The sequence below is a fragment of the Homo sapiens genome, chromosome X (assembly GCF_000001405.40).
Source record: "Homo sapiens chromosome X, GRCh38.p14 Primary Assembly".
NCBI lineage: Eukaryota > Metazoa > Chordata > Mammalia > Primates > Hominidae > Homo > Homo sapiens.
The window spans coordinates 16809161-16822535 of record NC_000023.11 but is presented as its reverse complement, the minus strand read 5'-3'; the positions used below and the strand labels follow the sequence as shown (position 1 = coordinate 16822535).

Sequence of the window (13375 nt, the reverse complement as noted above, 5' to 3'; positions counted from 1 at the left end):
AGCCATCAATCCAACCACGCTGTGTTTTCGGCCATCTTTGCATTTGTGACTGCTCTGGGACATTTTCACTGATGCACAGGGCGTCCTGTTGCTACAAATAGTGAAAGGTGCCAAGCTGCTGAATGCCAGCTAACTGAGGTATACCTGGACCACTTCATAAACTAAGGGAAAGTAACTGTCATTTTTTTTTTTTTTGAGTCAGAGTCTCACTCTGTCGTCCAGGCTGGAGTGCAGTGGCGCAATCTCAGTTCACTGCAAGCTCCGCCTCCCGGGTTCACGCCATTCTCCTGCCTCAGCCTCCCGAGTAGCTGGGACTACATGCACCCGCCACCACACCCGGCTAATTTTTTTTTGTATTTTTAGTAAAGACGGGGTTTCACCGTGTTAGCCAGGATGGTCTTGATCTCCTGACCTCGTGATCCACCCACCTCGGCCTCCCAAAGTGCTGGGATTACAGGCGTGAGCCACTATGCCTGGCCTGTAACTGTCATTCTTGAGGCAATAAACTAACAGAATTCAGTTTTTTTATTTTTTATTTTTTTGAGATGGAGTCTCGCTCCGTTGCCCAGGCTGGAGTGCAGTGGCACGATCTCGGCTCACTGCAAGCTCTGCCTCCCGGGTTCATGCCATTCTCCTGCCTCAGCCTCCCGAGTAGCTGGGACTACAGGCGCCTGCCACCATGCCAGGCTAATTTTTTTTTTGTATTTTTAGTAGAGACAGGGTTTCACCGTGTTAGCCAGGATGGTCTCGATCTCCTGACCTCGTGATCCGCCCACCTTGGCCTCCCAAAGTGCTGGGATTACAGGCGTGAGCCACCGCGCCCAGCCTCAGAATTCATTTTTTTAGAGCTGATCATTGATTTAAAAAAAAGTAATGGCTTATGATATGGAATTAACTGTTTTAACAGATGAAGATGCATATAAATTGTACATGATAATTCACCTAAGTATGTCACAAAAGGCAATAATTTTAGCATTTATATTAGAACCACTTATTCTAAAAGCTTCCCGCAACCATTCCTTTAAAGGGTTCTATGATTTTCCCATTCTTCAATTCAAATAGGATGGCAGGGTTTCCAAGTTGAAACTGCCCTCACGGGCCAGGCACAGTGGCTCATGCCTGTAATGCCAGAACTTTGGGAGGCCAAGGCGGGCGGATCACAAGTTCAGGAGATGGAGAGCATCCTGGCTAACACGGTGAAACCCATCTCTACTAAAAATACAAAAAATTAGCCAGGCGTGGTGGCACGCGCCTGTAGTCCCAACTACTCAGGAGGCTGAGGCAGGAGAATAGCTTGAACCCGGGAGGCGGAGGATGCAGTGACCCAAGATCGCACCACTGAAATCCAGCCTGGGTGACGGAGCGAGACTCCGTCTCAAAAAAAAAAAAAAAAAAGAAAGAAAGAAAGAAAGAAACTCCAAAAAGAGAATTAATGCTACCTGTAATACCTGTAATATAGCTGAGAATGGACGGGCGCGGTGACTCATGCCTGTAATCCCAGCACTTTGGGAGGCCGAGGCGGGCAGATCACGAGGTCAGGAGATCAAGACCATCCTGGCTAACACGGTGAAACCCCATCTCTACTAAAAAATTAAAAAAACTAGCCAGGCGTGGTGGCGAGCACATGTAGTCCCAGCTACTCAGGAGGTTGAGGCAGGAGAATGGCGTGAACCCGGGAGGTGGAGCTTGCAGTCTGCTGAGATCACACCACTGCACTCTAGCCTGGACCACAGGCGAGACTCCGTCTCAAAAAAATAAAATAAAATAATATAGCTGAGAACAAACTCTTTGATAAGGTCACTGTTTCTAGAAAATGGAAAAAAGGATGCTTGACACATAGTAGATGCTAAAGAAGTATTTCTGAGACAAAGTATTGTTTTAGCAGATGATTTCATGTAACTCACAATCTCAATCAAAACAGTCCTCAATCTCTAGAATTCCCTTAGGAAAAGTTTAAGACAGGAACCACTACACCCCAACTGAGTGGCACCTAAGGCATCACAACATAGCAATGGAAAGGCTGACTTAGACTCTAAAACTGAGTTTTAGAAAATCTATGCCACATCTTAGTATTACAATGTTCCCTATATATTACCTCATAAAATGAAACTATACAACCAATAAAAAGCCCCAACAAAACAGATTCTCTTCTTCAATTTCAGAATAAAATATAATTTTACATTTAAGGCCATATCAAATTTGTACTTTAAGAAACTTATCAAGCACACACACATTTTGTTATATTTTATATGGCTCTCACATCCTTGGCTTAATACTCACAAGATCAGCATATTTCTTACAGAGAGCTGCCAGCTTCTCCTCTGGGGTTGAAAGGGTGTTTAGGGCTTGCATCAGTAATAAAACTTCTTTTCCTGATGGTTAACAAGAAAAGAAATAAGTCCCAGAAGAATGAGATCAAATCTAACCTGTAAATTCTACTAACAATTCCCGTGCTCTGACATCCAGAGTAAACTAATTTACACCTATGATTATAAATAAGAGATTTACCAGCTCAATGAAAAAGGCAATTTTTAAATTCTGGATTAGCAGGCCTCGCTCCCCTCCCCATACCCACCCCAAATTTCTTAACTCATTCACTAACACTGCGAGCTATTTATAAGAACTCTTGTTAAAAGCTTATAAATTTCCTTGCCTAATCACTGATGTCCAAGTTAAGACAAAGGGCAAGTTACAAAGGGCATGGAATTTTTTTTAAAGCTTCCTCCTAACCAAGTTCGAATATAGAAGCAAGTTCAAAGGGAGTTTCAGTTGGTACTACACTTTGCCAAAGACACACATAATCACAGGAGAACATATCTTTTCCTACGAACAATTTAAAAACGTGTGCTTTTCTTATGATTTACTAAGTATATTCTGTGTGTTAACTAAGGTTAACTAACCAAAGGATGACAAGATAGCTCTTCCTGTGGGGAAAGACCTTAGCAATACTGTAAGGACTTTGGCAGAGAGAGGCAGGTGGCTGAGATTAGGAGGGGACTAATGGCATTTCGAAGTAAGGGGTAATCTTTTATTTCTTAAGCTAGGTGATAGGTACCATTTTTATTTTTTTAATGTTCATTCTTATATGTAAGATATTGCATCAAAATATATATCTCAAAATAACTCTGACATACAGACTGCTATGGGGGAAAAAGGGTGACTTCAAAAAAGAATGCTTTTCTACTCACATAAAATTTTATTAATGAAATCTTCTCTCATTTAACCCAAGGCCAATAAGACCTTTAAGAGACGATTAAACACAATTACTGAAAATGATCAGAAATAACTGCAATGTGGCCGGGCACAGTGGCTCACACCTGAAATCTCAGCACTTTGGGAGGCCGAGGCAGGAGAGGACTGCTTGAGCTTAGGAGTTTGAGACCAGCCTGGGCAACACAGTGAGAACCTGTCTCTACAAAAAAAATTTTTTAATTAGCCAATTCTTGATTATTTGGAAAAAAAAAAAACTAAGCGTCCTCTCTGCTGTTTTCGCCTCCTGCACATAACTGCAGCAGACACATGGACTGACCTCACCGAAGACACTAGGGGTGTTGGCTAAGCACCTCTAAAGTGGCTGTGTTCAAAATTATCTGGGCTGCAGAAAACACAAGTAAAATGATTAGCATGTGAAACGTCCAACCACTGAACGGATTATTACCTAAAGTTTTTTCTTTGTTCCTGTTGCACTCTGAATCTTGCTGACCATCAGGGGGATCTGTTCGAGCTTCTCCCCCAGGGATTTCCTCTCTTGATTCTTGCGTGCAGTATGCTGGGCTCACCAAATTCCTGTTCTCTGTTATAAAGTCACTGCCTTCATCCTCTTCCAATGAATGCTTGTTACTTGTGCCACCACAATTTGAGCCTTGATGTTGAAGAATATCATTTGATTGAGAGTTACACAACATATCTGCTTTCACCCCTAGCCCACAAATTCCAGCTTCTTCCATTGTGCCAATTTCAAACTAGAAGAAAGGAGAAGGAGAAAAAAGATGGAGAAGGGGTTAAATCTAATGTAATCAATGTTTACAAGCAATGGAACATCATAGCCTGATAGTTTTTTCTTCCTTAGTGGTTTGCAAAATTGATGTAAATATGGTACTTTCTAGGTTTCACTGAGAGGTGACCTAACTATAAAGTATAAGGAAATTAGTTAAAATGAATCACACAACTATTCAGTACCAAAGGAGGCAAGAAACCCATTTAGTTATAAATCTAAATTGATTTCCACATAAAAATTCACCACTTAACATAATTAGCACCTTAACAGAAGTGAAACTGTCCCCAGTTAATGAATATTAATTATTCTAATCTTATCCTCAAGGAGACAGTACAGCAGGGATGGCTAGCTAGCTATCCATCAAAACCCCATGCTCCCCCAAGTTCCTGTGGAGTTGGCACTATGAGACAAGTGCCCAGCCAGGGACTATTCCCCAGCCCCCTTACACCAAGGGGCGACTTCCACGTGAAGTTCCCACCAACTGAATGTGGGCATAGGACACGACTGTCCAAGACTTTTATTCTTAGAAGCACAAGTTCTTTCTCAACCATCTCTCCCCGACTCTGGCAAAATGCAGACATCTCCAAGACCCTAAGGGATGGCAGAGCCACAGGATTAATGAAGCCTAGGCCTCCATATCCTATGTACATACAGGAAAGCCACCCTACTTACAAAGAAAACCTACACTGGACTATAGGTGAACAAGAAATAAACTTCTCTCATGCTAAGCCATGGAAATTTTGAGACTGATATTTTAAGCAGCTATCCCTGCCCTAATACACATGGTAAAGATGCCTTTATTCCAGTATGTTATTCTTATGTCAGTAACTGTCTTCTATCACATTGTTAACCCTATTTGAGTTTTTTCCCCTTGTGAACACTTCCTGGTCATGATGTGGCACAAATTTAAATTCTGTGCATTTACTCTCTGTATGAAAGAGGGCCTCTTCCTTTTCTGAATAATACTGTTGAGGTGAGGAGGTGTTTAGTATCCTTCTCTTATCACAAATGGACAAAAGCTACTTTCAAAATTTATGGGAGAGCAGATATTTGAGATTTTAGGTTATAATCATTTTGTGCAACTGAAGAACTCAAAATATCAAAGTAGGAGGGGATAGAGAGGTTAAGGAAAATAAAATCTTATATTTTATAGTCTAATGTTGATAAATCCAGTACTGTGCTTTCATAAGAACAAATTGGCAAGGACACTTTGAAAAACTCTTTGGCAATATATGGATACCTTCTAACCCAGTTAACTCTACTCCTGGGATTTTGCCCAAGTGTGTACATATGTGTATCCAAAGTCCAAGAATAAAGGAGCACTATTCCTAATAGCTCCAAAATGGAATCAACCCAAATTTCTATCAGTAGCAGAATGGATAAACTATAGTATCAAAGCAGTGAGAATGAACTACTGTTGGATGCAACCACATAGATGAGTTTCACAGACCTATGTTGTGAAAAAGGTGCTAGAAGAGTATCTACTATAGGAAATCATTTATGTATAAAGTTCAAAAACAAGGCAAGCTAATAAATGGTGCTAGAAATCAGGATAGCGGTTACCATTGGGGGTGGGGCCTCCTGGGGTGCTTGTAGTGTTCTATTTCTTGGTCTAGATGAGGTGACACATTCACTTTGTGAAAATTCATTAAGCCTAACATTTATGATTTGTATACTTTTCTCAATTTATGTATTTCAGTAAAGTTTATTTTAAAAGTTGCAATTTATACATTATTCAAGAAGTAAGAGGAACCAAAACAAATATTTTCCTCTAAGAAGAGAGATTAAAGATATGCTGCTTTTCATGACACTTTTAAAATAATGTGCATGTAATACTTTGACATCTTAAAAAAAATTAACACATTAAGGGGAAATGGGTTATCTATTTCAGAGTTATGGTTTGATGCCACACTCTAAGCCTAATTCAGATAGAAAAAACTTACAAATACTGAAACTCTTAAGTTATTTGAAAAGATTTTAAAAATTCACTTCCATATGTATCATATTCTATAGAGCAATGTTTCTCAAGCGTAACCCATAAAGTTTTTCAAAAATTCACAATGGCACGCATCGTGGGGCATGCTTGTAGTCCTAGCTATTTGGGGGCTAAGGCAAGTTTGAGGACAGCCTGGGCAATATAGTGAGACTTCGTCTCTTGGGGTGGGAGAGGATTCACAATCAAGTTTTAGGAAAAATCATTTGTAAGATTTCACTACTGTAGAAACTTCTTAAAATTGTTAATAGGCCGGGCAAGGTGGCTCATGCCTGTAATCCCAGCACTTTGGGAGGCTGAGGTGGGCAAATCACTTGAGGTCAGGAGTTCAAGACCAGCCTGGCCAACATGGTGAAACCCCGTCTCTACTAAAAATACAAAAATTAGCTGGGCAGAGGTTGTACTGAGCCGATATCGCGCCACTGCACTCCAGCCTGGGTGACAAAGCGAGACTCCATCTCAAAAAAAAAAGAAAAAAAAATCATTAATATACCCAAATAACATACTATAGCAGTATTATTATTAACAGAACAGATGCAAAGTGATAATTCAATGCTACATTTCACATGTAACTACTAGTTTCGCCTCTAATCAAATATTGAAATGTCATGTACTAATTGGGCGCATAGATATATAAAGAGACCCTTTACACAAAAGCAATAGAAAGGGAAAAAGTGAGTACTATCAATACCATTTTCCCCAATTAAAAAAAAAAAATTTCGGACAGGCGCAGTGGCTCACGCCTGTAATCCCAGCACTTTGGGAGACCGAGACGAGACGGGCAGATCACAAGGTTAGGAGTTCAAGACGAGCCTGACCAACGTGGTGAAACCCCACCTCTACTAAAAATACAAAAATTAGCCAGGCGTGGTGGAGCATGCCTGTAATCCCAGCTACTCGGGAGGCTGGGGCAGGAGAATCGCTTGAACCCGGGAAGCGGAGGTTGCAGTGAGCTGAGATCGCACCACTGTACTCCAGCCTGGGTGACAGAGCGAGACTCCGTCTCAAAAAAAATAATAATAGTTTCAAATCTATTCCCTGAAAACCATTAGGTATAAGAATGGCACTACAGGCCGGTCGCGGTGGCTCACGCCTGTAATCCCAGCACTTTGGGAGGCTGAGGCAGGCGGATCACCTGAGGTCAGGAGTTTGAGACCAGCCTGATCAACATGGTGAAGTCCCGTCTCTACTAAAAATACAAATTTAACTGGGCGTGGTGGTGCATTCCTGTAATCCCAGCTACTCGGGAGGCTGAGGCAGGAGAATTGCTTGAACCTGGGAGGCGGAGGTTGCCGTGAGCCTAGATCACGCCATTGCACTCCAGCCTGGGCGACAGAGCAAGACTCCATCTCAACAACAACAACAAAAACAAACAAACGAGAATAGAAGACTGCTTATCTCTAACACAGAATTTCTCAGACACTTAATGATAATAAAACCCACACAATCCCAGAAAATATGGTGTCAAGCCGTATCAAAAATACAGTGAGCATGAAATTCGTAGAAAAAAGGGGAAGCATAAATAATTTTCACCAAGAAAACCCTGAGGCCTGTCCTAACCCTGAGGCTACTTGAGGAATGAGATTGGTTCATTTGTAGTTTTTCAGTTCCATTAGCGATTTATTTTGTAACACCTTTATTGTGATATAATTCACATACCATACAATTCCCTAACTTAAAGTGTACAGTTCACTAATTTTACTGCATTCACAAAGTTGTGCAAACATTACCACAGTCAACTTTGCAACACTTTCATAACCTGAAAATGAAACCCAGTTCTCCTTAGCTATCAACCCTTAATGCTTCTATAACCTTCAGCACCAGGCCACTAATCTAGTTGCTGCCTCTATGGATTTGGCTATTCTAGACACACTTCATATAAATGGAGCTATACAATATGTGGCCTTTTGAGTCTGCCTATTTTTTCTTTTGAGATGGAGTCTCACTCTGTCACCCAGGCTGGAGTGCAATGGCACGGTCTCCGCTCACTGCAACCTCCGCCTCCCGGGTTCAAGCGATTCTCCTGCCTCAGCCTCCCAAGTAGCTGGGATTACGGGCACCCGCAACCATGCCCGGCTAATTTTTTGTATTTTTAGTAGAGACAGGGTTTCACCATGTTGGCCAGGCTGGTCACGAACTCCTGACCTTAGGTGATCCACCTACCTTGGCCTCCCAAAGTGCTGGGTTTACAGGTGTGAACCACCACACCGGGCTGAGTCTGCCTATTTGCATGTGGCAAATTTTCAAGATTCCTCCATGTTATAGCATGTATCAGTATTCCATGCATGTAGCTGAATAATATCCCTTATACAGAGAGACTACATTGTATTTATCCATTCATCAGATGGACATGTGGGTTATTTCCAATTTTTGGCTACACTGTATTTATCCATTCATCAGATGGACATGTGGGTTATTTCCAATTTTTGGCTATTATGACTATTTCTTTTTATTTTTTTTGAGATGGAGTCTCGCTCTGTCGCCCAGGCTGGAGTGCAGTGGCGTGATCTTGGCTCACTGCAATCTCCATCTCCCGGGTTCACGCCATTCTCCTGCCTCAGCCTCCCGAGTAGCTGGGACTACAGGTGCCCGCCACCACGCCCAGCTAATTTTTTGTGTTTTTAGTAGAGACGGGGTTTCACCGTGTTAGCCAGGATGGTCTCGATCTCCTGACCTTATGATCCGACCACCTCGGCCTCCCAAAGTGCTGGGATTACAGGCGTGAGCCACGGCGCCCGGCCAATTATGACTATTTCTGCTATGAACATTAATGCATTCATTTTTGTGTGGACACTTCTCCAGGGTACAGTCCTAGGAGTGGAATTGCTATATGACCACTCTATGTTGAACCTTTTGAGGAACTGTAAGACTATTTTCCCAAGCAACTGTACTTTTTTTTTTTTTTTTTGGAGACGAGGTCTCGCTTTGTTGCCCAGACTGCACAATGCAAGCTTACTGCAGCCTCAACCTCCTGGGCTCAAAGCATCTTCTCGCCTCAGCCTCCCAAAGTGCTGAGATTACAGGTATGTGCCACTATGCCAGGCTCATTTTTTTTTTTTTAATTTTGTAGAGGGAGAGTCTCGCTATGTTGCCCAGGCTGGTCTCAAAACTTCTGGGCTCAAGCAATCCTCTTGCTTCAGTCTCCCAGGGCACTAGGATTACAGGCGTGAGCCACCACGCGCAGCTCACTGGTACCATTTAAAATTCCCACTAGAAGTGTATGGGGGTTCCAATTTCTCCACATCCTCAGCAACACTTGTTATTATTATTTTTTTATAGCCATCCTACTGAGTGTGATGGTACCTCACTGTGTTTTTGATTTGCATTTCCCTAATGACTAACAATATTGAACATCTTTTCACGTGCCTATTGGCCATTTGTATACCTTCTTTGAAGAATGTTTTTCAGATCTTTTGCCCATGTTTAATTGGGTTGTTATTTTATCGTTGGACTGTAAGAGTTCTTTATGTAACTAGCTACAAGTCCCTTACCAGATATATTTTTCAGATGACTTCATGGTTACCTCAACTTGGAAGAAAGGAATAGGACTGGCGCAGTAGCTCATACCTGTAATCCCAGCAGTTTGGGAGGTTGAGGTGGGCAGATCACCTGAGGTCAGGAGTTCGAGACTAGCCTGATCAACATGGAGAAACACCGCCTCTACTAAAAATACAAAATTAGCCAGGCGTGGTGATGCAAGCCTGTAATCCTAGCTACTAGGGAGGCTGAGGCAGGAGAATCACTAGAACCTGCGAGGCAGAGGTTGTGGTGAGCCGAGATCACACCATTGTACTCCAGCCTGGGCATAAGAGCGAAACTCCACCTCAAAAAAAAAAAAAAAAAAAAAAAAAAAAGGCTGGCCGCAGTGGCTCATGCCTGTAATCCCAGAACTTTGGGAGGCCAAGGCCAGTGGATCATGAGATCAGGAGTTCGAGACCAGCCTAGCCAACATGGTGAAACCCTGTCTCTGCTAAAAATACAAACATTAGCCGGGCATGATGGCACACACCTGTAATCCCAGCTACTCGGGAGGCTGAGGCAGGAGAATCACTTGAACCTGGGAGGCGGAGGTTGCAGTGAGCCGAGATCGCGCCACTGCATTCCAGCCTGGGACAGAGTGAGACTCTGTCTCACAAAAAAAAAAAAAAAGGAATAAATATTCACTTATTTCAAAACATCATAAGGAGATTTAATTAAAAGTTACTCTTGTTTTCAGATTAAAAGTATACAGGTCATTGGCCAGGCACGGTGGCTCATACCTGTAATCCCAGCACTTTGGGAGGCCGAGGCGGGCGGATCACTTGAGGTCAGGAGTTCAAGACCAGCCTGGCCAATGTGATGAAATCTCGTCTCTACTAAAAAAAAAAAGCAAAAATTAGCTGGGTGTGGTGGCGGGCGCCTGTAATCCCAGCTGCTCAGGAGGCTGAGGTAGGAGAATTGCTTGAACTCAGGAGACAAAGGTTACAGTGAGCCAAGATCGTGCCACTGCACTCCAGCCTGGGCAACAGAGCAAGACTACATCTCAAAAAAAAAAAAGAAAGAAAAAAAAGTATACAGGTCATTTACTATTACCACTATACAGCAAAAAGACAATATAAAGACTCAGGGTCGGGTGCGGTGACTCACGTCTGTAATTCCAGCAGTTTGGGAGGCTGAGGCAGGCAGATGACGAGGTCAAGAGATGATCAAGACCATCCTGGCCAACATGGTGAAACCCCGTCTCTACTAAAAACATAAAAATTAGCTGGGTGTGGTGGTGCGTGCCTGTAGAGTCCCAGTTACTTGGGATGCTGAGGCAGGAGAATCACTTGAACCCGGGAAGCAGAGGTTGCACTGAGCCGAGATCGGGTCACTGCACTCCAGCCTGGCAGCGAGACTCCGTCTCAAAAAAAAAAAAAAGCCGGCCACGGTGGCTCACACCTGTAATCCCAGCACTTTGGGAGGCCGAGGCAAGCAGATCACCCAAGGTCAAGAGTTCAAGAACAGCCTGGCCAACATGGTGAAACCCCGTCTCTACTAAAACCACAAAAATTAGCTGGGCGTGGTGGTGCATGCCTGCTACTCGGGAGGCTGAGGCCAGAGAATTGCTTGAACCTGGGAGGCGGAAGTTGCAGCAAGCTGAGATCGCGCCATTACACTCTAGCCTGGGCGACAAGAGGGAAAACTCCATCTTAAAAAAAAAATAAGGAAGGCCAAAAAACTATTGTGTAATGCAGAATAATAGGTGGTGTCATATGGCATAAAGAAGAATATTAAATTAATCTGTATAGTGCACAAACACCACATCACCTATTTTCCTTTTAATTGTATGTCATCACTTCCTATTTGTAGTTAATACTTCCGATTTTTTTGTCTTTCCAGACACTCCTGCCTCTGAACTCTTATCACATATTACAATATCACGTATTTGATACATACAGCCTCCTAAGTAGCAATAGCTTATTATGCACAAATGGTACTCAAATGCCAACTGATGGGGAGCATACAGAGGCAAAAATGGCTGTTGAAAACAATCCACAAAAAGAACCTAGGCATTAATACACAAGTTATAGAAAATACCACTATTGGCCAGGCACGGTAGCTCATGCTGGAAACCCAGCAATTTGGGGGGCCGAGGTGGGTAGAACACTTGAGGTCAGGAGTTCAAGACCAGCCTGGCCAACATGGCAAATCACCATCTCTGGTAAAAATACAAAAATTAGCTGGGCATGGTGGCACGTGCCTGGAAACTCGGGAGGCTGAGGCACAAGAATTGTTTGAACCCAGGAGGTGGAGGTTGCAGTGAGCTGAGATCACACCACTGTACTCCAGCCTGGGCAATAGAGCAAGACTCTGTCTCAAACAAACAAAAAATGAAAATACCACTATTTTTATTTTATCATTAGAAGCAAGACAGTATTACATTTCCCTTCTCTCTTGTACAACTAATTTTGATGTGGTATTGGGGTATTTTTTACATTTGCTAATGAAAGATATACTTTGGCTCTACAAAATCTTTTTGTTTATTAATAAGCCCAGTTCCAACAGGACTTGATTCAAACCACAGTCTACAAATACTCTTGAAATAGCAGGCCCCAATTTTTCTACCACAAGGACTATTCAATTAACAACCTACTTGAGGCTCTGTACCTGGGCTATTGAATATTAAGCAAATTCTTAGGCCAATAACTTTATTAAATTGTAAATGATTTCTCAGACCTCATCTCCTCAACCAGAGAATTCTATATCATATGCCCAGTACAATTTCCTACTCTGTCTTCTCTCTCTGATGCCCATTCTGGATGCCTTTTCTTGGATCAATCTCTTATATAAATAATAGTAGTAGTAGCTAATACTTATACAGTAAATAGTACATCCAGGCACTACTGTAAGAACTTTCCTATATTAATTAGCTTAATCCTCACAACAATGCCACTAGGTAGGCACTATTATTTTCTCCATTTTAGAGATGAGCAAACTATGGCATGTAAAGTTAAGTATCCTGCCTAAGGTCACAGTTAGTAAACTGCAGGGCAAAGATTTGAACTCTAGCAGTCTAGCTTCTGAGTCCATGCTCTTAACCACAAAAATATACTGCTTCATAACTACCTTCTGTCTACTACTGTTCAAACATCCTTCTCCTGGCCCAGCCATCTTAGAGAAGCCTATTTAATAATGGGAAGAGATGCTCCCAAAATACGATGTACAAAAATGAATTACAAAACAGAATGTACTGTATATTTTGTATACGCACTATATATATGTATACAGATGCTGCTCAACATACATTGGGGTTACACAGTGATAAATCCATCCTAAAGTCAACAATGCAAGTTGAACCACAGTAAGCCAGGAACCATCTGTGTGTATGTACATACACACACAGAGAAGTGCTGGAAGAAAATACTGGAAGAAAATATCTTGGCCTGGTGCGGTGGCTCACACCTGTAATCCTAGAACTTTGGGAGGCTGAGGCGGGCAGATAAACTGAGGTCAGGAGTTCGAGGCCAGCCTGGCCAACATGGTGAAACCCCATCTCTACTAAAAATACAAAAATTAGCTGGGCGTGGTGGCGGGTGCCTGTAATCCCAGTTACTCGGGAGGCTGAGGCAGGAGAATGGCTTGAACCCGGGAGGCGGAGGTTGCAGAGAGCCGAGATCACGCCACTGCACTCCAACCTGGGCAACAGAGCGAAACTTCATCTCAAAAAAAAAAAAAAAACAACTATAAGATATCATTTTACACATCAAAAACTTCGACAACACTGTGGGAGGGGGTGGGGGGCATTCTCAAGCATTCCTGGTGGGAGGATAAATTGACTTAACCACCAAGGAGTCCAGTCGGGGAAGGGACTGACTGGGAACCAGCAGCACAAGGGAACCTCTAGGGTGTTGGTAATGCTCTGT

The 13375-nt window shown here is 42.6% G+C and overlaps 1 protein-coding gene across 4 annotated transcripts in view; it reads right to left on the bottom strand.

The window, feature by feature from the left end:
* The window catches only part of TXLNG (taxilin gamma), a 58054-nt gene that overhangs the window by 21984 nt on the left and 22695 nt on the right, over positions 1 to 13375 (bottom strand). For 2 of the 4 annotated variants that reach the window (NM_018360.3, XM_047442249.1), the window contains exons 2-3: positions 3659 to 3962; positions 2281 to 2372 (exon numbers count right to left, since the gene is read on the bottom strand). The exons of 1 other annotated variant lie outside the window; for it this stretch is intronic. In NM_018360.3, coding sequence (NP_060830.2) covers positions 2281 to 2372; positions 3659 to 3962 — 396 coding nt within the window. Of the gene's footprint in view, positions 1 to 2280; positions 2373 to 3658; positions 3963 to 10616; positions 10635 to 13375 lie in introns of those variants that run through there. One more of the 4 variants, XM_024452400.2, reaches the window with a different exon arrangement.